This window comes from Homo sapiens, chromosome 22 (genome assembly GCF_000001405.40).
Source record: "Homo sapiens chromosome 22, GRCh38.p14 Primary Assembly".
Classification (NCBI taxonomy): domain Eukaryota; kingdom Metazoa; phylum Chordata; class Mammalia; order Primates; family Hominidae; genus Homo; species Homo sapiens.
Genome location: NC_000022.11, coordinates 20,167,475 through 20,190,653, shown reverse-complemented (window position 1 = coordinate 20,190,653; position 23,179 = coordinate 20,167,475). Strand labels below are relative to the sequence as shown.

General features: G+C 59.8%; 4 annotated features.

Annotated features, from left to right (window-relative positions):
• Positions 1,974-2,677: a transcriptional cis regulatory region, noted in NCBI's record as "candidate enhancer chr22.431 targeted for multiplex CRISPR interference". NCBI's record gives its function as "positively regulates CLTCL1 gene expression with high confidence in K562 cells {active_cell/tissue: K562}" and the evidence as "EXISTENCE:mutant phenotype evidence [ECO:0000015][PMID:30612741]".
• Positions 3,471-4,008: an enhancer, noted in NCBI's record as "H3K4me1 hESC enhancer chr22:20174169-20174706 (GRCh37/hg19 assembly coordinates)". NCBI's record gives its function as "activates a minimal SCP1, AML or CMV promoter by ChIP-STARR-seq in naive H9 embryonic stem cells {active_cell/tissue: H9 hESC(naive)}" and the evidence as "EXISTENCE:reporter gene assay evidence [ECO:0000049][PMID:30033119]".
• Positions 11,277-11,441: a silencer, noted in NCBI's record as "fragment chr22:20166736-20166900 (GRCh37/hg19 assembly coordinates)". NCBI's record gives its function as "represses an EF-1alpha promoter that drives an FKBP-Casp9 reporter gene in an ReSE screen in HepG2 liver carcinoma cells {active_cell/tissue: HepG2}" and the evidence as "EXISTENCE:reporter gene assay evidence [ECO:0000049][PMID:32094911]".
• Positions 12,870-13,863: an enhancer, noted in NCBI's record as "H3K27ac-H3K4me1 hESC enhancer chr22:20164314-20165307 (GRCh37/hg19 assembly coordinates)". NCBI's record gives its function as "activates a minimal SCP1, AML or CMV promoter by ChIP-STARR-seq in naive H9 embryonic stem cells {active_cell/tissue: H9 hESC(naive)}" and the evidence as "EXISTENCE:reporter gene assay evidence [ECO:0000049][PMID:30033119]".

Sequence of the window (23,179 nt, the reverse complement as noted above, 5' to 3'; positions counted from 1 at the left end):
CTGATCCACTCCTCTCAATGTCCAGCCGCTAGAGTATCTGCCTACTAGGGTCTCAGGGGTTTTTATAGGCACAAGATGGAGCATGGCAGGCCCGGGTAGTCTTGGGAAATGCCACAACATGTGGGCAGGAAATGCCTGTCCTCACCTAGGTCCATGGGGGTGGAACCCTAGCCAGGGACCATGCCTTCCTCTACCCAGCACTTTCCTTCCCCTCTTTTGAGATGGAGACTTGCCCTGTTGCCCAGGCTGGAGTGCAATGGCCTGATCTCGGCTCACTGCAACTTCTGCCTCCCAGGTTCAAGCAATTCTCCTGCCTCAGCCTCCCAAGTAGCTGGGATTACAGGAGTCCACCACCACGCCCGGCTAATTTTCATATTTTTATTAGAGACAGGGTTTCACCATGTTGGCCAGGCTGGTCTCGAACTCCTGACGTCAGGTGATCCGCCCGCCTCAGGCTCCCAAAGTGCTGGGATTGCAGGCGTGAGCCACCGCGCCCAGCCCCCTTCCTCTCTTTCGTATCATTTAAAGGGACCACACTGTTCCCTTTCAGCACTTCTGAAACACCCCCAGGTTGGATTCTGGGGGCTTCTGTCTTCCTTAGCATGTGGGCGTTTCACACCTTTTGTGTCAATAGCCAGTACTGTCTTTGCCGTGGGGTGGTGGGAGAACAGGAAAACACATGCTTTTTTGTGTTTTGTTTTTGTTTTTTGTTTGTTTTTTAGAGAAATAGTCTTGCTCTGTCACCCATGGTGTAACCATACCTCACTGTGGCCTCAAACTCCTGGACTTAAACAATCCTGCCTCAGCCTCCCAAGTAGCTGGGACTATAGGTGCAGACCACAATACCTGGCTAAGTTTTTTTGTTTTGTTTGTTTTTGGTAGAGATGGGGGTCTCGCTATGTTGTCCAGGCTGGTTTTGAACTCCTGGCCTCAAGTGATCCTCCTGCCTCGGCCTCCCAAACCAGTGCTGGGATTATAGGTGTGAGCCATTGGGCCTGGCCCCAATACATGCCTTTTCTGTGGGACCATAGTAGGTGGGTATATCTATGGGGTACATGAGATACGGGGTACATGAGATATGTTGATACAGGCATACAATGGTTAGTGTCACATCAGGGGAAATGGGGTGTCCATTATCTCAAGCATTCATCATTTCTTTGTGTTACAAACACCCCAATTATACTCTTTTAGTTTTCTGTCTGTTTGTTTTTTGTTGTTTTTTTGAGATGGAGTCTTGCTCTGTCGCCCAGACTGGAGTGCAGTGGCTCCATCTTGGCTCACTGCAAGCTCTATCTCCCAGGTTCACACCATTCTCCTGCCTCAGCCTCTGGAGTAGCTGGGACTACAGGTGCCTGCCACCAAGCCTAGCTAATTTTTTTTTTTTTTTTTTTTTTTTTTTTTTTTTTTTTTAGTAGAGACAGGGTTTCACTGTGTTAGCCAGGTTGGTCTCGTTCTCATGACCTCATGATCCGCCCACCTCGGCCTCCCAAAGCGCTGGGATTACAGGCGTGAGCCACTGTGCCCAGCCTCTTTTAGTTATTTTTAAATGCACAATAAATTATCATTGACTGTAGTCCCAATACGTGCTTTTTTGTTTGTTTGTTTGTTTGTTTGTTTGAGACAGAGTCTCACTTTGTCGCCCAGGCTGGAGTGCAATGGCGCAGTCTCGGCTCACTGCAACCTCCACCTCCCAGGTTCAAGCGATTCTCCTGCCTCAACCTCCCAAGTAGCTGGACTACAGGTGGGAGGCACCAGGCCCAGCTAATTTTTGTATTTTTAGTAAAGACGGGGTTTCTTCCTATTGGCCAGGCTGGTCTCAAATTCCTGAACTCAAATGATCTGCCTGCCTCGGCCTCCCAAAATGCTGGGATTACAGGTGTGAGCCACCGCGCCCAGCCCCAACACATGCTTTTTAATGGTCAAGACCAGTAGGCCCATGGGGCCAGAAGCAGGCATGCCCCTGGCATGGCCCAGGCTGGCCCAGGTGTGGAGGGAGGCGGTGGCGGTAGCTTCACTCTCAAGTCAGCAGTAGGAGTCATGCCCCCAGATGGCAGGAAGAGGGTGGGCACCTGGGGATCCCTTCAGGGGGGTGGACAAGCCTGGGGTGGCTCCAGCTGTCACCTGCTCTCTGTGAGGCCTGGGCAGGGGACCCAAGGGCCCTCCTCAGTTTCCTCGTCTGCACGGTGGAGGCAGTGGGCCTGCTCCCAGGCTGAGTGATATCAGGGGCTGTGGGCTCTGGGCTCCCATCCCACTTTCTGGGAGCATCCCCTGGGCTCTGACAGCCCCTGCCCAGTTGCTGAGGCTGCCCACACCACAGGGCCAATGCTGTTCCCATGGAGCAGCAGAGTGTCCCGAGTTCCCACTGCTTCCCTGACACTCTGACTCCCATCCCTCCTGGGCCTGCTGCCAGCCCCATGCCAAACCCAGGGTGGAGGTGACAGCTGGGCACATGCTGGACACCAGTGTCCTCAGCCTGTGGCTGTCCTCACCACAGGGTGCCTAGGTCAGGATTCAAACCCAGGCCTGAGCTGCCCCTGTCTGTGCAAGGCTCTATGCCCCCTCCTTCCAGCCCATCTCAAGTGTCCGACCCCAGAGTGCTCGTGCCGGACACTGGCCGTGTGGAAGACACCTCCAGCCACAGGGAGGCCCTGCAGCCAGGGCCTGGGGTCCTTGCTCACCAGGGTGCGCACCACTCACCTGGAAAGGAGACAGGGCCACCTCCACCCAGCCCCAACACACGGGCCTCAGGGGCAGGGACCGTGAGATGGAAGGAGGGCCTGGCGCCCTGGGGCATCAGTCGACTCAACATCCAAACACCTGCCCTGGGCAGGTGAAGAAGCAAAGAGGTCAGGGCCTGGCTCCACCCAGCCATGCAGCCTCAGGCAAGAGGCAACATCCTGGGCCTCAGTTTACCCTCTGGGAAGAGGGCGTGTGTGAGGAGCTGGCTCAATATAGCAGGTCCTTACCACTGCTCATGTGGGTCTGTGGATGGAAGGCCCCCAGCTGCATTGGGTTTGGCTGTAGAGTCCTGGGACACAGACACCACCCAGAGTGGCCTCAGACAGGAGTCCCACTTTTCCACCAGCCCCTTGCTGGTGAAGGACACTTCAGACTTTCGCCCCATTCCCTGTCACTGTTATCATGAATAAGTATGCTGGGAGGTTAACAGGTAAATAAAAAGCATAGCTGGACACAGTGTGAGGCCACAGTGGCCGGAGGACTATGGAACCTCAGGGCAGGACAGCATCTGGGCAGCCAATGCCAGCCTTGGCAGACCCCATGGCACCTGCCCAGAGGCTACGTGCAGGCGTGGCCCTGCAAGGGGGGCGGTCAGAGGCAAAGGTCACAGCAGCTTCGTGCTCTTTACTGCAATGCATCCCCTCTGTTAATCCTCACGTGGGGCTCAGACAAGCCTCTGTGTGCCCTTCCTTCTCCTGTGACAGGTGGCCTTCCTCCTCCTGTGACGCTGTCCCCCAGCCCCTGCTGTGTGCAGACCCCATGGCATGTGGGCAGCCAACGCCAGTGTTGGCCACCAGACAGCAGCCCAGGGAGCTCAGCAGGGCCAGGCAGTAACAGAGGCCAGGGCGGGCTGGGAGTTTCCCAGGGAGGGTCCCCACACCCCCTGCTCCCCTTTCCTTCCCACGTTGTCCCTTCCCACTTGCCCCCAGCCCACACACCGGCCAAGGGCCAGCTCCACCTGCCCACCTGCTCCACTATTGTTTACTCGAGGGCTTTCTTCGAATGGGCTTTTTTAACTTAAGTGATTATATTTTGAAAGGAAGTCTTACAGCACCACTGGAAATGGAAAATAAGCATCGCAGGTGGCAAGCAGAAGGTATTGGAGCAAACAGAATAAAAGCAGAGTGCCATGAGATCCCACACAGCTAGGCCTGCGGGAGGCGCAAGCCCCTGCTCCACTCAGCCCCAGGAGGGGATTACGTCCCAGTCACACCGCGGAGGACAGGGCTCTGCCTCCCAGCCCCACTCACCAGGAGAGCGCCCCCACCTGATGGTCAGAAAGCTCTTCCTTTAATCAATGCAGCTGATACTGGGCAACATCTGTAAGCACTGCCTAGTGGGGACATGAAATGACTGAATCTTGGCCCCAGTTCAGAGACAGTGTCTGGGGACAGAGACTCCTACTTTCCACAGTTTCCCCAGGCCCACCCTCAAGTCCCTCCCTGCACAGGAGCGTGAGCAGAGGAGACAGACAGCAGCCCTAGCCTGGTGATATCCACACCTAGGCTACCTGGCCATCTCTTAGACTCACCTACACCCGCCATGCTAAAGGCACTGAGAAGTCCTGCAGAGGATACATCAGCCTTGTTTAACTCAGTATTTCCCCAGGACTCCTTCTCCCCAGCTCTACCCTGGGTGTGGAGGGCCCTCTGTGAAAGACAGACAACAGGCAGCCTCCTGGTCAGACCTCATCCATCCACACTGGTGAGCACACTAACAAATCCAACTTCGCTCAAACAGCAAAATGATTCCCACACAAATGACATCTGGCAGTTCTTGTTGTGTCCAGCAAAGCCATGGGACAGGCAGGACTGCCCAGGGCTCCATATATCCAGGCCAGGAGTGGCAGCTTCACCCAGCCCACCCCAACCCCCAACACCAGCCCGAGCAGGAGAGGTAGCCCCCACTCCACGCTCAGCCCTTTACAGTATATTCCCCCCGCAGACCTTATCAGTGCCTTGGCTGATAACTCTCTATCCAGACATCTCAAACTCAGCCATAAAAGGAAAGTGAACATGGCTCTCTCCTGCATGTGGCAAGTGCTCGTGCTCCAAAGAGGCTCTTGGACAGAACAAAGATGCTCACCCCTCCCCGCTGGTCCTTGCTGGTGCTGCTGAGAGAGACGCACCCACCCCTCAGGGATTCCTGGGGAGGGCACCATGTGACTACAGCCCAGCACCCGGCATAGGGACTTTAGAAGGGTCTCTGTCGCCTCCCAGTTCAACCTACCCAGGAGGGTCCCGTGACCCGTGCATGGTGCAGCTCCCAGGAAGCTGCCCAGGGAGGCCCAGTCCATAACTCTGCAGCTGCAGAGCCCATGCCCAGCTACCTTCTGGGAGGGGCAGCATCTGCAGTGGGGACTTCAGGATGGGGCAGAGCTTTGGGGAGGGAGATGCCAGGTGGAGGGAAGAGCAGAGAGTGTTTGGGAACCTGGCTCCCATAATCCCAGGGCTTTGGGAGGCCAAGAAGGGAGGATTGCCTGAGGCCAGGAGTTTGAGACCAGCCTGAGGAACAAAGTGAGACCGCCATCTCTACAAAAAATAATTTTAAAAAAATTATCTGAGCATGGTGGCACACACCTGTTGTCCCAGCTACTCGGAGGCTTAAGCAAGAGGATCGCTTGAGCCCAGGAGTTGGAGGCTGCAGTGAGCTCTGATTGTGTCACTGCACTCCAGCCTGGGTGACAGAGCGAGACCCTGTCTTTTTAAAAGGTGGGGAGGGGTAGGGGCTAAACAGAACAGTGGTCGCCAGAGCCTTGGAGAGGGAGGGGTGGCCGCTGTGACCACTGCTCAGCCTGAGTGGCCCCAGTATGCCTCTTCCCCTTGGCCTTCAGCCCACAAGGCAGCATCCTCACCTGCCTCACAGAAGGGGGTTGGTCCCCAGGTCACTCTGCCAAGAGGGGCCCCACGGAGGCCCAGGGCGCTGCAAGGAGCTGCTTCCTGGGTGTCAGGCTCCATCCTTGGGCAGGTGTGGTCTGAGCCAACGCCCTAGGCCGGGCCACGGCGGGGACCCTGTCCAGGTGGCCGGGAGGGTACAGGAATCCCTCAGCCCCAAGTCCATGGCTGGGGAGAAATCCTCGGGTGGGGGCAGCAGCGTCAGGGCTGACCATCCACCCCCCAGCCATGAGCCCGGGGGCTCTGCTACCTGGGAGTCTCTGCTAATTGGCCCCAGCGCCTCCCAGGCTGAACGTTGCTCAAACATGTCAACCTTGCTGCTTGATTGACAACCTGTCACTGTTTCGTGAGGTTTCTGAGGTGTTCCCGGGACTCAGCAACCTTGAAAGTTGGATAAAGAACTCCAGGAAACTGGCAAGTCAGTCAGCGGCCAGAAGTGAGGCCCTTTCCCCGCATGGGGGCTGTGAGGGACTGTGGGGTTCATGGGGGCCTGTGCGGTGCATGGGGGCCTGTGGGGTAGGTACATAGGGGACTGTGGGGTACATGGGGGCCTGTGGGGTACATAGGGGACTGTGGGGTGCACGGGGGCCTGTGGGGTTCATGGGGGCCTGTGGGGTGCATGTGGGACTGTGGGGTGCACAGGGGCCTGTGGGGTTCATGGGAGCCTGTGGGGTGCATGTGGGACTGTGGGGTGCATGGGGGCCTGTGGGGTACATAAGGGCCTGTGGGATGCATGGGGGCTTGTGGGGTACATAGGGGACTGTGGGGTGCATCGGGGACTATAGGGTACATGGGAGCTTGTGGGGTACATAGGGGACTATGTGGTTCATGGGGGACTGTGGGGTGCATGAGAGTCTGTAGGGTTCATGGAGGACTCTGGAGTTCACGGGGTACTGTGGGGTTCATGGAGGACTGTGGGGTTCTTTTGAACATGCTTCTTTTGTAATGAGAAGAAACAACAAAAAGTTAAGGCTGGGTCAGGCAGGAGGGGCCCCTGAACCCCTGGGACCCCAAAGCCGTATGGGGAAAGTGACAGGGTGGGTAGGCCCAGCCCCACCATAGGCCTGGAGCCCTGACACAGGGCAAGAGACTGCGCGGTGCCCTGGCCCTTCCCACCCTGGCCTCTGTGTCTGCTGGGGGCCCTGCTCCGTGCCCAACCCAAGGCATCTGGCCCCGAAGGATGGGGGCATGTGTTCTGCCGGGAGCCATCTTTCTCCACTGTGCCCAGGTGCCCCAGGCAGGAAGCCCGCTGGGGGCTTGAAATAGCCACCTGTCCCTACCTCACTAGCCCTGAGCCGTCTTGGGTCCTGGGGACTTCCCAGAGGTCCTACACAGGGGGGTCAGTCTCCAGCTCTGGACCTTGGGCCGTGCCTGGCTGCCAGGGACGCAGTCAGCTAGACTCTGAACTGGAGTCACTGCCCTGGGGGATCCTCCAGTCTGAGTTTGAGCAGAGCTGGGACCAGATTGGGAGGTGAGTGGACGTCGCCCGAGACTCTTCAGGCACTGCCAGCCCGGTGGGCGCTCGTCTGCAGACCAGGCTTATGGAAGGGGTTAATGTGCCCAGGGCCACACAGGGCAGACGGGGGGCACAGCCATGTCCTTCACAGTGGCCAGACCTGAGGAAGCCAAAATGGCTCGGCGGTCACTGGGCCAGCCTGACCGCCACACACAAGGCAGATGCCCTCAGCCCTGTGTGGCAGATGGGTAAACTGAGGTACAGATGGGACCAGGGTGCACAGGAAGCATCATGAGCCAGGGCTGAGCCAGGTCAGCGTGGGTACAGCAGCCATGTGTTTCCATGATCTCATGTGGCCAAAGAGCCTGGAAAGGCAGGTCCCACACTAAGTTGGAGACATGAGGCCAGGGAAAGTGGACATTGTCACACGGGCTGGTGACTCCGTGAAGCAAGGCCCAGAGGAATGAGAGATGGAGACAAGGAGCAGAGAGAAAGAGGCCAGGAAAGGAAGCCAGTGGGAGAGGTGTGGGGCCAGGGGAGGCCAGGAGGAGGAGCAGGGCTCAGGACGAGACCTGGGGAGGAAAAGCCACTCGCTGTCCACAGGGCCATGCCATCTGTGAGGCCCACCCCATCCACCCCAGCCCAGGGCCCTCCCACCCCTGCCTCCCCTTGTCCTCCAGCCCAGTGTGGCCCGAGGAGCCAACATCCCACTCAGAGCAGAGGAGCCTCCTTCTGTGGCCATGCTTCTCTGTGTGGCAGCCGGCAGTGGACCCTCGCCTCTTCAGGGAGCACGGATAGAGAAGGGCATGACAGCCCATGCAATAATGACCACTGGATTAGCCACTGCTCCTGTCATTAAACTGGCACCATCATGAGACCTATTTCAGAGCCACAGGTTGAGAAGGGCCCTTCCTCATCGAGGGCCAAGGCCTGGGGATGGCAGTCACGTGGCCCTTGAAGGTGTCCGTGTCAGGGGAGCAGCTGGGAGCAAACCCGCTGTGCAGGAGCCCAGAGGAGGCCACAGAGCTCTGAGCTTTGCTGCGTGGGCAGGAGGCGCCTCCCAGGGCTCAGCTGCAAGGGCTGGTGCTCACACTGGGGACAAGAAAGACAGACCAGGTCCAGAGTCCCAGGCCTCTCCCAATGCCCCAGAACCAGGCCCCTCCGTCCCACCCCCTGGGGCCCTAGGTTGGCGTCACGTGCCCTCTGCCCCATGCCTGTGCCCACCCTGGGATGGTGTCTCCCCTCTCTCAGGTCTACCTCCCAGCACAGACCCTCTCAGAGGCCTCTTTGGGCTCCCCCAGGGACCCCACGGCACTCTTGTCACGGCCCAGTGTGCCCATCTCGGGGCTCCATCCAGGCCCAGCCAGCCGACAGCCGGAGTCCATCCATCACACTGCCCACCACCCTTCCGGCCTGATACGGTTAGCTCTCGGGGAGCATGGTGGCTGCTGCCAGCAAGGGGCCCCCAGGGAAATCAGCCGACATCAATAAACCTCCCTCCGACACCCCACGGCCCCACGTGCACCATCACTCTTCCGCATCGACCGGCCCACCAAGGCCGCAGCTGCGGTGGCAAGGAGAGGCCCCTTGTCCATCAGCCTCGGATCCCCTGCCGCCCAGGAGCCCTCAGCCAGCTATCCCTGCTCAGCAGCATCTCCTGGCTCCCGGCCTGGCTCCATCACCGGGGCCCCAGCCCGTGTCCAGCCTCTTGGGGTGGGAGCGGGGGTGGGGTGCTGGGCAGTGCCACCACCCATCAGCCTGACATTTCCAAACAGCCTGGCACCGCCTCCTTCGCGGGCAGGACCAGCACTGTCAGCAGCTCCCCAGGCTCCAAATGCCAGCGTTGCCACCCAAGCTTGGGAGGGAGAAGCCCAGAGGCCCTGCCGGGCATCAGAGAGCCCAAGGTGGGCATGGGCAGTGGGGGTGCAGGGGCCCTGGGGCTGCTCTGCCAGCCTGACCTGGAGAGAGCGAACTCCTGGCTGAGAGCCCAAGGCGCCACCCCAGGCCTCCCCCAGCCTCCCCCATGGCAGGTGTCCCACTGCAGCTGGGGACAGGGATGGAAACCGTGCAGCCCTGGGCAGGCTGGGCCAGCCGGGCCAGCCGGGGCCCTCTCCCTGCCCTGCCCTGCCCCTCCCCACTGCTGTGCAGCTCTGCCACTGCTGGACTCTGGCCCCACGGCGACCCACGTGCCCTCACAATCCAAGCCATGTTGGCCCCAGGAGGTCTTCCCACTCGCAATGCTGAGCCCCAGCTGGAAAGTCACCCCCAGCACAGGCACTGGGGACAGACACTGGTCTGCCCTGTATGTTCAGTTGTTGTTTCTGTTTAAAGGGTGAAGAGGCTGGGTGCAGTGGCTCACACCTGTAATCCCAGCACTTTGGGAGGCCAAGGTGGGAGGATCGCTTGAGCACAGGAATTTGAGACCAGCCTGGGCAACATAGAGAGAACCCCTCTCTACAAAAAAAAAATTCACCGGGTGTGGCGGCACATGCCTGTAGTCCCAGCTATTCAGAAGGCTGAGGCAGGAGGATTCCTTGAGTCCAGGAGTTTGAGGCAGCAGTGAGCTGGAAGTGAGGCGCTGGAGCCACATCCCGCAGGTAATATGCCCAGAGGGTCTCGCCCACCAGTGCTGCATTTGGGGTGGGACAGCAATGAGCAAGTGGCATCGTGTGAATGACTCATGGGTGTCAGAGCCATGCACGGCCCACTGGGTTTCACTTCATGCTTGATTTTCAAGCACTGCACCCAGCCCGTTCACACTTTAAACAGAAATAACTGAGCTACAGGGCTGGCCACTGTCTTTCCCTAGAATACACTTAGGACAGTACTGGTCTATATATAGGGCTCAGAAAACGTGGGGCTTTTCCTATTCAATTTGAAAGATTTCAATGCCACATGTGGAAGGTTCTGCCCACGATGACACTGAGGCGTAGTGACTCGCCCCAAGTTCCAGAGGACACGACCCTGGGAGGACCCGACCCTGACCTAGGAGTTCAGTTTCACTCTGACCCGGGTGGGCCACCACACCTTCAGGCCCTGCGGTCACCCAGACACACTGGGCCCGGCCACCGCCCTCTATCTGACTACTGCCCCTGGTGGTCACCCTGGCAGCAGCCAGGCCGGGCTCGGGGGCACTTGGGGCACTGCTGCAGGGCCAGGCTGGGTGGGCCAGGGTCTCTCTAGGGTGGGGTCTCAGAGCCTTGGCAGAGCCAAGGGCCTGAGGACCATGCCTGGCCCATGAGGGCCAGGGCCTTAGGCAGAAGGCCAGGGCAGGGCGTGACTGGAAAGCCCCCTTTTAGCCGCCCGTGAGCAGGGAGCCGCAGGCCGGCCTCAGGGGTCCACATGTGACTGCACAGACTCTGGATGAGGGAGTGTGCCCGGGGGTGGCAGGGCAGGCCTGTAGCAGGGTCGCGGGGCGAGACTGCCATAGGGAGGGTCCAGGGACGTGGGATCCCAGCAGGGCAGGAGCAGAGCGTCGAATTGCAGGGGCAGAGGGGGTCCCGGAGACCGAGGTACAGTGTCTGCATTGGCGGGGGCTGCACTGCACCAACGGGCAGCAGGTCTGGGCGTGAGATGCCCCAGCTGGGGACCAGTTTGGCTGTCAGAGCAGCTGGGGGAGCAGGACACTGCTGGGCAGTGAGGAGAGTCCTCCGCCTGCTCACCTGGACACCACCCTGACCCGGTGAGGCGCCATGCCCACGTGCAGATCACCCAGGATGAATGCTGGGCAGGGCTGGGACACAAGTCCCAGGGCAGCTGGGCAGAGGGGCAGGGAAGGGCGATCTCTGCAGGGAGAGAAGCCAATCCCTGGCCTGGAGGGTCACTGGGGCTGGGGGAGCCCACCTCTTCTCGCTGTCCCATCCTGCCCCTGTCCCCATGAGCAGCCAGCCGGGCATCCAGGAGACAACTTGAGACGGGGAGGCGCTCAGTCAAGGCTGTGTGCTGGCCTGGCAGTGCCTGGCCTGGCACAGGCTCTCCCTGGGTGAAGGACCACGGGGCCTGGCTTAGCCGCCGACTCAACCATACCAGGGTCAAGGTGGGACAGGATCCGCTCTGTGGCCCAGGTTCCCCGACCCCCACTCCTGAGCTGACAGCCAGCCCACTCCACCTCCCCTGCCCACCTCCCCTCCCCTGCCCCACCCTACCCACATCTACGTTTGCACAGATCCAGGTGGGCCTCAAGCCCAGGCCGGGAGGTCCTCCCAGTGAGAGACGCAGTGTCCCCTCTGACAGCCAAGGCTTCCCTCCCTGTGAAGTGGGTCACACCTGGTCCCTCCCTCCTGGGGATGGGGTGCTCAGGAGGCAGGTGACCCTGCCCCTCCCACTGAGTGACCATGGCTGGCCAAGGCTCCCCAGGCCCCAGCATATGGGACCCATGGTCCCCCCACCTTGATGCTGCAGCGTCTTCCGGCGGGTCACCCTCAGCCCACCTAGGGTCACACCATCATATGGGAGGCCGAGGGCTGCAGCACTGGAGCCAGTTGGGTGTGAATGTGGACCCTGGGGTCCTTCCCTGAGCGGCCGCCTCCCCAGAGAGCTGCGCCCTGCCACAGCACAGGGCCAACCTGGGGCGAGACTTCACCCAGACTGCCTTGCCCTCGAAGGCAGTCCTGTCCCTCAAGGGGTCTTGCTGGGCCATGGCTGCCCACGCCCGCTAATGGGGCTGCCAGCCCCAGCACAAGCCGGTTGGTGGCTGATTGATGGGTAATTGTTTTACCTCTGAACAGCCCGAGCCCCATAATTTGGAAGCATAAATCCCAGCCTGTCGGGCTTGGCTGACATGGAATGACACCCAGAATTAAATGAAAGCATAACAATTAACAGCCCATAAAAATGTTCTGAGCGAAGCCCCGACACAGGGAAGCGCGTCTCCATCTCCGAGTGGAGCTCCCGAGGGCTCTGCGGGGCCTGCCTTGGGGTGGCGTGATACCAGGTCTGGCAGGACAGGCTGCCTTCTCCTAGAGAGACAAAGCTCCTCTCCAGGCCCGTGTTGCCTGCTCAGGTCCCCTCTCCGCTCACCCCTGGGCCACCCAGAGGTCACTTATGAGCTGGTGTGGTCACAGGCAGGCACTGAGCTTGGGGCAAACACCGGCCCTCACGCCCCGCAGAGCCCACAGCAACCACCTCCCGGTCCCCATCCTGCTCCACGCACCACCTCCCCAACAAGCTGCCACACCAAGCCCCATGTCAGGGGCCAGTGTGGGGAACCATCACTGAGACAGCGCTCAGCAGGCTCTCCCCACGTGCCTGTGGGCGCGCATGTCCCCAAGCCTCCAAGGGCCCACCCCTCACAGGCAGAGTGCTGTGGCCCCAGGCCCTCAGTGGGGAGCGTGGGCGCCCGAGGGATCTGAGGTTCACTGGGAAGAGACGTGCCCCACCCCAGGGCGTCTCTGGCCCCAGCCTCCTCCCTTGGGGCTGCAGGGAGGCTCCACCAGCCTTGGCACCCTGAGTCGTGGACAGACAGGGCAGAGGAGCAACATCCTGCCCACAGCTGGAAAACAGGACCCCTGAAGGGCTGGGAGGGCACCTGAGGATGAGGACATGAGGAAGCGGAGGGTACAAGTCCCCAGACCCAGTTTCCCACCAGTCCCAGTGGACATGACGGTGGCCCACAGGAGCCACAGTGGCCTTGGGGACAAAGAACCCCCGACCCCTCCAGATGCACGCAGTGGATGCCTTCAGGCTCCAGCTGCAGCTGGGCAAGGTTCTGTCCGCAGTGGAGGACTGGCTTGGGGCCCCAATGCCTGGCCACAGGCTGAACACCTCCTCTGACCCGCTGCGCAGCCCACATTAGGACTCAGTTCCTAAAGAGCCACTTTACCGGCATTGGGCACTGGCAGGGGGCTGCCTAACTCAATTGCCTCTGAGCTGTTTCGTGACTTGGTGATTGTGATTTTGTTTTCTTATTGTCATTGTTTTAAGCCTCCTCCGCGATGCTCTCTGGGTTCCTCAGACGGAGTGAGGCCTCAGGGTGCACAGCAGGGCTGGGGCTCCCAGAGGCCTTCTCCAAAGAGGTGCACGGATCCGAGGAGAGATTGGCTTGCCTAGATGGGCCACCCACCCACTGCACTCGCCCACCGCACTCGCTGAGGGGGTCCTGGAGGGCAGAGGTGCTCTGGGCAGGCAAGGCAGGGAAGACAGCGTGATGCTCAGTGGGCCTGGGAGGTGGAGCCCTCAGGGTCAGCACTGTAGCTGGCAGCAGGGCGTGACCTTGACCTTGGATGTGCCACAGATAATTTCAAGAGTGTCCTATGGTCCGAGCAGGAGGACTTCAGCCAAAGGGTGCGGAGGGGGAATCTAGGGGGAACCTGACATGGCCGGCGCATTCCTGAGACAGCCCAGCCCGCCACATAAAGGTGGAGGGCTGCCTTGGAGAAAACAAACTTGGGGCGGCCACATGCAGCCCCCCAGGCTCCAGGCCTGGCTCCCTCCCCAGGCGCTCAGCAGGAGCCACACCCGCATTGGGAATTCGGGGCAGGTCCGGCCTGCATGCTGTGTCGAAGAAATGCAACACAATTAATTAGCCCCTAAAAAAAGCGTTTGAAGTGTTTATTGCAGGACGGCGCTCCTGGTTTTATAAACAGATGGGGAAATAAAGTGGTGGGGATGACAAGCCGGGAACAGCTGCACAGGGACCCGGAACCTAATTCATAATTCAGCAGACTAATCAGAGAACATCTTCTGCAGGCGCCATAACGAAGGGACGTGAGGCCGCAACTGATGAGCCAATCCCCATGCGCCTGCCACGCCAGCCACGCCCCTGCACTGCTGACCCCAGTGTGAGCCCCTGCCTCCAGCCCTGGCCTGACCGAAGCACCCAGCCCCATCCCTGGTCACAATGACCTCCTGCCAAGCTTTCAGCAGGCGTTTTCTCAGCAGCTCCCTGCAACATTTAGTCACAAGCCCATTTTTCAGGAGAGGAAACTGAGGCGCAGGGAGAGTGAGCCTGAGGGACCTGCCCTGGTGGGTGCATACCCCCACAAGCCCTGGATCCCCAATCCACTGCCCAGGGGTGCACCCAAAGAGGTGGGTTTGGCCCTCCTGGACCACCCTGGATCCTCTTGTGCAGGAGGGACTCCAAGTAGACTGAGGAGCTCTTCCCTTCCAGCAGTTGAGATGTGGAGGGAGAAGGAAGAAGGGGGAGAGTGTTTACCAGCCAAGAGGACGTGGGATGGGTGTGAGGCTGGCCTTTGAGGAGCATGGACTGGGCGGGGACCTACCGGTGGGTTGTACATGGGGAAGCCCATGGGCCCCGAGCAGGGAACCTGGAATAATTGAACATAAAAATTCACATGCATTTGGCCAGGCGCAGTGGCTCACACCTGTGATCCCAGCATTTTGGGAGGCCGAGGTGGGAGGATCACTTGAGGTCAGGAGTTTGAGACCAGTCTGGCTAACATGGCGAAACCCCGTCTCTACTAAAAATACAAAAAAATTAGCCAGGCGTGGTGGCGCACGCCTATAGTCCCAGCTACTTGGGAGGCTGAGGCAGGAGAATTGCTTGAACCCAGGAGGTGGAGGTTACAGTGAGCCAAGATCGCGCCACTGCACTCCAGCCTGGGTGACAGAGTGAGACTCCATCTCAAAACAATAAAATAAAATAAAATAATTCACATGCATTTTATGAATCTTCTAGCTCCGACAGGAGCCCCAGTGTTCACAGCAGTCGTGGACTGTAAAATGCACAAGATGAAATGTTTGTGACAGCCGTAAAGTCCTCGTTTTCTCCTCGGCTGCAGTGGAAACATGGGGCAGCGGGGCCGTGGGCGCCAAGCCTCCCCATCCCCCGCTGGCCCCTGCCCCTGCCGCACGTGCTCGTGTGTGCCCTGTGAGTACCCAGCAAGACATGGGGACTGAGGAAAGAGCCCAGCTCACACCTGCCCTCTGCAGCTCACGGCCTCCTCAGGCAGACATATGGGGTCAATTAAACTCTGCAACAAGCCTTTTACTTAAACACATCAAACCACAAATACCATCAGAGTGGTTGATGTCGTAGCAGAGGAAGGCAAGGGGGCTGCGGTGCCTACAGGGGTAGTTCAGGGGCCTTGTGGAGTTGGGCTCCAAAGTCTAGGTAGGAGCTTGCCAGTGTGAGCAGCACCAGTCACCCGCCACTGTGGCACTGGCGCCGGATGGGACTCAGACGTGGGTTAGAAAGCCCCCAGTCAGACCCTCACCCCAACCCCCACTGGACCTCACATGCTTTCTCCCCACAGGATTTCAGAGGATGGCAGGGGAATGGGGAAACATGTGTCCGGCTACCTGCTGCTGCATGACAAAGCAGCCCAGTCTCTTGTGTGCTTGGTCTGTGGGTCTGGAGCCCGGGCAGGGCCCAGCAGGGCGGTGTGGGCAGCTCTTCTGCTGTGCATGGCATCGAGGGGGCATTCAGTGTACTCAGCCCCAGCTGTGCCCCCAGGCCTGGCCTCGGCAGACCGGCTGCAGGGCTGAGCCCCACAGGCCCTCCCGCTCCGTGGGCTCTCCCTGCTGGTCAGATTCCTTCAAGGCAGCTCAGGACCAAAAGCAGAAAGCAGAACAGCTGGGCTCTGAGGGCCTGGGGTGCAGCGCAGCGCCATGTCCACCCAACACCAATGGTCAAAGCTGTCCAGGCCTTCCTAGGTCCAGGGAGGGATGAAGACTGACAGACTCACAGAAGGTCAAGGAATGTGCGTTTGGCCCCGTTGAGTCTCTGCAGGATGGGCTCAGTACAAAGCGCTGGGCAGGGCAGAGGAGCAGAGCCCACCTGGACCCCAGCCAGGAGCCCACAAGTGCCAACAGCTCCCTGGGAAACAGGACCAGGGCCCCCAGCTCCTGGGTGGGCGAGGTATGCAGTAACTGGCCCCTCAGGGGGTGGAGCCAAGCTTGGAGACCCCTGCCGAGGCAGGGTCTCAGTGCTGAAGCAGGATTTGGACCCACTTTTTCTGTACTCTGACCCCTTTCCCAAAGTCAACCTCCCTTTGAGGTCCTCTCCCCAAAACACCCCCTGACCAGCACAGCCCTCCTCTGCGTGCTGCAGGCAGACTCCTCCCTGTTCCTACACCACCTGCCCGAGGTCCCCCAGCTCTTGAATGGCAGAGTGAGGACATGAAGCCGGTGTCCCTGACTCCAGGGCTGTGTTCTTGGCCCCAGCCCGGACCCCCGCATGCATCTACATCTGCTGTCTGCACTTGGTACCTGCCGCTCTTCCCCGGCCCCCACTGTCCCACAGTGAGACAGAACCCTGATCAGACTCCCTGCACAGAAGGAAGGGCGCTGCTCCTCCCACCCTCTGCCCAGGTGAGGTGCCACCACAGGCTGCTCAGAGCCCCAGGAAGTTGACTGGAGGGCAGGACGGCACCTTGTGTGGTGGGGCCACCGTGCAGGTAGAAGCAACATGCGACCCGGGTGGACACAGCCCCACAGGCTGCAGGGCTTAAGCAGGGCAGCCAGGATCCTCCCTCAGCGCCCCCTCGCAACCCCACCGCTGGTGTGTGTGTTGTTTGTGAGGGCATGGTGCCCAATTGGACTGCCCCAGCCCTCCAGGCCCGCAGTGCCGTCACTTCCAGAGTGGTCCGGCTGTAGACAGAGCCACTCTCGGGGGGGTGTTCAGTATGCACAGAGCCCCCACCCCTCTGTGCCTGGCCTGTCCCTTGGGCCAGGCCCCAGCAGAGGTAATCTTACTAAACAAACATGCCCCGGATTTGCTGTCTGTGCAAACAGCAGCAACTGCTGCTCTGCGGATGAGGGGCTCAGAGACTCCACAGTGAGGGTTTCCAGGGCTGCGTCCTTCTAAGCAGCAACATGGGAGGCAGCACCTCACGCCCCACTCCACAGACACTGGGCTGCGGGGAGTCCTTGAAGAATGCAACAGGGTAGTGCTAGGACCTGCTGCGATCTCCTGAGATACCCAGCCCCTCACAGGCACCAAGCTAATGTCGCAGAGGTGCGTGTGGCCCTGGCCCCAAAGAGGAGGACCCAAACAGCAAACAAGCTTGAGAGAGAGCCAGGCCCAGCAACCTACGCACCAGAGACCTGCCCTCGGCTCCGCAGACCCGGGGCAGACCGGGCCTCTGCCACCTGAGCTGGCCTCCAGGGGGAGGCTGCTCCTGCCTCAGACCCACCCAGCCCAGCCTGGGAGCCCAATGCAGAGGCCGCTCAGTACCCTCGGGTAGGGGGACAGGGAGACCTGTCCAGGGCGGCCCCCTTGCTGCCCACTTTGCCACCTCCTTGCCCCACTCAAGCCCTCTAGGGGATTGAACCAAGAGTCTGGGCTGGCCGGGTGTGGTGGCCCAGGCCTGTGATCCCAGCACTTTGAGAAGCCAAGGTGGGAGGATCGCTTGAGGCCAGGAATTCGAGACCAGTCTAGGCAACATAGTGAAAGCCCCTCGCTACAAAAAACTTTAAAAACTAGCCAGGTGTGGTGGCCTGCACCTATAGTCCCAGCTACTTGGGAGGTTGATGCTGGAGGATCACTTGAGCCCAAGAGTTCAAGGTTGCAGTGAGCTGTGATGACACAATTGCACTCCAGTCTGGGTGACAGAGCAAGACCCCATCTAAAAACAAATAAATAAATAAATAAATAAATAAGTGTTTAAATATTAGCCGGGAGTGGTGGTGCACACCTGCAGTCCCAGTTACTTGGGAGGCTGAGGTGGGAAGATCACTTGAGCGTGGGCGTTCAAGCCTGCAGTGAACTGTGATGGTGCCACTGCTCTTCAGCCTAGGTGACAGATCGAGACCCTATCTCTAAAATTAATTATAATTTAATTTAATTTAATTTAATTTTAAAAGACTCTGGGGTGATGGACCAACCAGGCACAATGCCTTTGGCCACTGGCAGAGGGCACCGTGAGGCTGCCTTGGACACGGGGCCATCAGGGTGAGAGGCTGGCACTGGAGATTGGTGGGTGCAAGGTATCACCCCAGCATCCCCAGCCTGCCTCACCCCCGCTGGCTCCCAGCCCTGCCCCCCATCCTAGAACTTCCGGCTCCTGAAGAACCAATGGCTCCTCACAATGTGGCCTCTGCCCCCACGCCTTCCCAGAGCTCCTGCCCCGGCCCCCACTGCAGGCCCCAGAGAGCACCTTGTAGCCCCTACGGAGCCCAAAACGCAGGCCCATGGGAGGATGGCACCTTTCTGGGGTGGGGAGTCCCTACTTTCCTTTCTCTAATTTTTCTGCATTTTCCAAATGTTGATACACTAGCATGAGTTTCTCATGGAGCTGGAACAGCAAACCTCAGCAGGAAGCAAGCAGGCTGCCCTCGGGCGTGCAGAGGAGCTGGAGGCCAGGGCCCCCATGGGGAGTCCTCCTCGAGGGGCCTGGGAAGGGTCTTGTGGAAGTACTGGGTGGGCTGAGGGCTGGCTGTCCAGTACGGGCTCAGTTTGGCCCTGTGTGCAGCTGCCCGGTCAGGCCATGCTGTCCTCCAAGATGCATTCTGCATCCCTCCCTGGGGGACGCACCAGCCTCATTTCATGGCCACTGCGACAGTTGCATTAACTTGTATCTAATGGGATGCTTGGCTATTGGACATGGAGCAATTCCAGTTTAATTAAGCGTCAGGAAGCTGGGCATTAATTAAAGTAACAAAAGACTCAGCACAACGCAAGCTGGGCCCTGCTCAGAGAGGCTGTGGTCTAGGCGTGAAGGGTTGACGAAGTGCATGACCCAGGCCCGGCACTGTCCACATGTCCACACCCCCTGGCTCACCGCCCACCTGGAGGCCACCAAGGCCTCACACCCTGACCTCCCTGGCTACCATGGCCCAGGCCCCAGGCTGGGCTTTGTGTGCTGAGCCCCCAGGGGCAGGGGATGGGGACCCCTGGAACACCCAGGGCCCTTGTTAAGGTGAAAGCCATGTCCCAGGAATGGCCACAAGGTCCCAGCAACCGTGGAGATCCGTCACACCCCAGCACCTGGCTTTGGCCAAAGGCCCCTCCCCACTCCCCTCCAGCCCTCCCTCCACTAGAATTTGGACACCCCTCGATGGACACAGACCCTGGCCACCCTCAGCTTCCTCCTCCTACCCCACCCCAGCCAGGAGCCCACAGGAGGTACCTGGGGACATGCCAAGGGCAGAGGTCACAGGAGATGAAATGAGGACACCAAAGCCAGCAGTGCCACCTGCAGTGGACTCAGGCCACCATGCTGGCCCCTCCCGGCCTCTACCCTTGGCCCTTGCACCCCTCCCCTCCCTCCTCCTCTCACTTCTGTTGGGCCTTTGGCCCCTCCAAGTCCATGAACACAAATCACATGAGGTTTGCCTCTATTGTATTTATGAAGACATTTTATGTGACTTTGGTTTTTGGTGGTTTTTTTTGTTTTGTTTTGTTTTTTGAGACAGGGTCTCACTCTGTCACCCGGGCTAGAGTGCAATGGTGCAATCCCAGCTCGCTGAAGCCTCCACCTCCAGAGCTCAAAGGATCCTCCCACTTCAGGCCCCCAGGTAGCTGGGACTACAGGCATGCGACACCATGCCTGGCTAATTTTTCTATTTTTTTGTAGGGAGGGGGTTTCCCTCTCTATGTTTCCCAGGCTGGTCTTCGACTCCTGGGCTCAAGCAATCCACTTGCCTCAGCCTCCCAAAGTGTTGGGATTCCAGGCATGAGGCAATGCACCCAGCCTGTGACTTTTTATTTTAAGGGCAGGTGAGTTGGGGACTTTGTCTTTCTTTTTCCAAGGAAAAACAGAAAACTAGATTACGATCCCCAGTCAACTCTCCCCCACATTAGCTGCCTCCAGGTCTCCTCTGCCTGGGCCTGCACTTGGGGCCTCACAGCTGCGACACCTCCTAGCCCCAGACCAGGCTCCAGGCTGCAAGGCCAGAAGAGAACCTCAGGTGCTCTGGTTGAAGGCACTTCTCCCCAGCCCCCGAACAGCATCACCTCCTTCCGCCTTGATGTTCTACCTGCTCTCCGCCCTTGCTTCTCTGCTGAGGCTGGATGGAGAAGTCTGGCCTCAGCTGCCCTCTACAGAGGTGCTGACATCTGCTGCCCAATGGGCCTCGGGCTGGGTCCAAGCCTCAAAGCCCACGCAAGTAAAAGGTGCAGCACTGGCCAAAGGGCCTTCCCTCTTGCACTCACTCACTGGGGGCTGATAGGCAGGAGCCCTGGATCCCCAGTTAGACTTAGTCCTGCCAGCCCAGGGTCCCCGGTGCAACATCAAGAGGACCCCAGCCACGTGACGAGGGTAGACGGTCTCCACAGAGCGCTGGCTGCTGCCGGCCCCAAGACACGCACCCTTGAGCCTCCCATCAGCCCTGCAGGATCCCGGTTCTGTGAGGCCCCTGGGTTCAGCCAGGGGGTGAGAATTCAGGGACACCCAGGCAGCAAGTGGCAGACCCTTCCGGAAGGGCCTGGACAAGGGTTCTGCATGAGGGCCCCGTGGTCGGGCCCAGAGCAGGGGCTCCGTGACTGTGTTGGCTCCAGATCGGCCCTGTGCCCAGGTACTCAGCGCCTTCCTATCGATGTTTCCCATGATGATGATCATATTTTCCCCATCAGTCGAGATCCAAATCAATGGCATTTGAGTAACTGGAGATTGACTTTAATTAAGTCTGAGAAGTTTTGTAACCATGCCTGATGGAGGACTTCTCCCTGGTCCACCAGATGAGGCGTGGGCAGGGCTGCCCCCGGGTGGCCTTGGGCCCTGGCCTGGGACTCCCCCGACCTGCCCGCAGGACCGACCATGTCCTCCACCCGGGCTAAGTCTGATGCTCTGCCCATGGGGCTGAAACCCACAGGCAGGGCTGACAGGGCGGGGCCCTGAGGAGGGGGCAGGGGCAAGGGAAAGACCCTGGCTGGTGGGGGTGGGGGCAGTGCCTTTTCCAGGCCACACGCCCCAGCTGGGCCCTCTGACCATGATTTCCAGGACGTTGCCACACTGCTCCCTTCCTTCACCTCCAAGAGGGATCACCCCACACCGGCCTCCAAGCCTGGTTTTACGCAAACCTTGTCCTGTAACCATCCCTGGGCTGCTGCCCCCCAGGGCTGTGGGCCACTAGCACTGCCCTGCCCTCATTCCCATTCCCATAGCCCAGTGACCACAGGACGAGGAGGGCAGCCCCCAGCCTGGCCCCTGTAGGCTGTTTTCTGCCCTGCCGCCCCCGACCCCACAAGCGTCTCATGATGCTGCCCAGAGCTGGAGCCCCTGTACCTATTCTCAGGTGGTGCACCAGCCCTGTCCCCTCCTACCCCCCAGCCTCCCAGGGTTCCCTCTCTCCTGGGGGCCCGGGCCTCCCCAGCCACCACCGGCTGCTCCACTACCCACCAGCAGGAGGATGTGTTTAATGACACACAGGAAAGAAGGTTATTAGCAAGAATGCATTATTAAGGGGGAGGCCCAGCGAGGCAGGCCACTGAATCACCCAAATCCTTGAGGACTCATGGTGGGTGCTGAGCCCTGGGGAGGGACTGCCAGGTGGCAGGTGCATTGGGGAATCCTGGGTGCTGGGGCAGCACCAATCCCAACTCATCCAAGCCCTGGACAGGAGCTCAGAGACTTTTGATGTTTTGCCCCGGAGGGCCCCAGCTCTACCTCAGCCGCTGGCTGAGCCCAGTGCCTCTGAGAGCACAAACCACCCTCATCCCACAAAGCCTCTGCCACTGCCTTTGGGGCAGATGTAGGCAGTGCCCTCCCCAGTCCGCAGATCACTCGTGGGGGAGGCATGTAGGGTCTGGGAACAGCCGCTCCCCAGGGCAAATGTCTCCAAGTAGGGAAGGCTCACAGCCTTGGCCTTCTGCCCTCATGGCCTTGGGGTAGGATTCGGTGTCCTCACGATACATGAAATAGCAGCCGGGACCATCTCCTGAGCCAGGCCAACCCCACGCAGGGGGCCCCACGGGGACTTCCTGCTGCAGTGGCCCCGCTCCAAGGACCCTCAATAACAAACCTTGCCATGGCAGTGCATCACCTTTACCGCAAACCCATGCTACGCACAGGGAAACTGAGGCCAACATGGGGAGGGGCAGCCCTAATGGCTGAGCAGGGACTGGGACCAGCCTCCTAGCCTCCCTGGAGGCCTGGACTTCCATCACTGTCCCAGGCCCGGCAGTTGTCGCAGGATCCTCCCCCAAGATCATCAGCCCCTCCCAGGCTGATGCCAGGTGCCAGGAGCAAGCTGGGGCTTAGGGAAGTGGTGGGCTCGGGGTAGCAGCTCAGCTGGGCTGGTGGCGAGCCATGATGGGGTAGGCAGGGCGGGGGGTCAGGGCTGTGGCACTGGTGCTCGCATGGGAAGGACATCTGCAGGCACACAAGGTGGGTGGCAGGGCCCCTGGAGGAGCCTCAGTGAGCAGCCAGGCCCAGAGGACAACAGCCCCAGAGCTCCAACCCCAGAACACAGAGCTGGGACTCGGCTAATGAGGGAGTGTCGTTCGGGGCACACTCTCAGAACAGTGGCCCCAGGCTGGAGGGCAAGAGGTTCTGGACCTGAGGGCCTGGGCTGGGGGTAGCGGCGTGGGGGCCGCAGGGGCCAAGTGCCCGGAGGCTCCAACACTGGCCTTCAGGACCTTGGACAACCCCAGCCACTGGGGCCTCAGTTTGCCCATCCAGAAATGACCTTGAAACAGAGGCCACAAGGGAGGCAGAGCTCCCAGAAGTGGGAGACAGGAACCTGAGGCCAGGACCACACCTGCCCGGCCCATAGCCCACAGTGCCCATCTGTGCCGAGCATCGGGAAGGCCCCCAACGGCCCTCCCCACGAGGCTGTCACCCTTGGCCTTCATGTCTCCAGGTGCCTCCTTTTTAAAGTCTTGTGCCTTGAAACATTTAACTCTCAAAGAAGCAGCAAGAGCAGTTTAAGCGCCCCATCTGCCCTGCCCGGGCCCGCACCTGTCTGGCCCATCGCCTACTGGGCTCTCCCCTGCCCCGTGGTCACTGCCATCTTTGCCATCACTGTGGGATGACGACCTCTGAACAAGGGAAGCAATGCAGTGGCCGCAGACAGTGGTCTGCATTTCCTGGTGACTTGGGGAGCGGCAGCCGCAGCAGGGGCACCACATGTCCCTCCTTCATGGGCTGAGCTCCGAGGGCTCTCCACCAGGAGGACGCCTTCTTCTTTCTGGAAGCAGGATCTTGTGGGGAAGCTGAGCTCAGCCACAGGCCCATCTGCATCAGCCTTT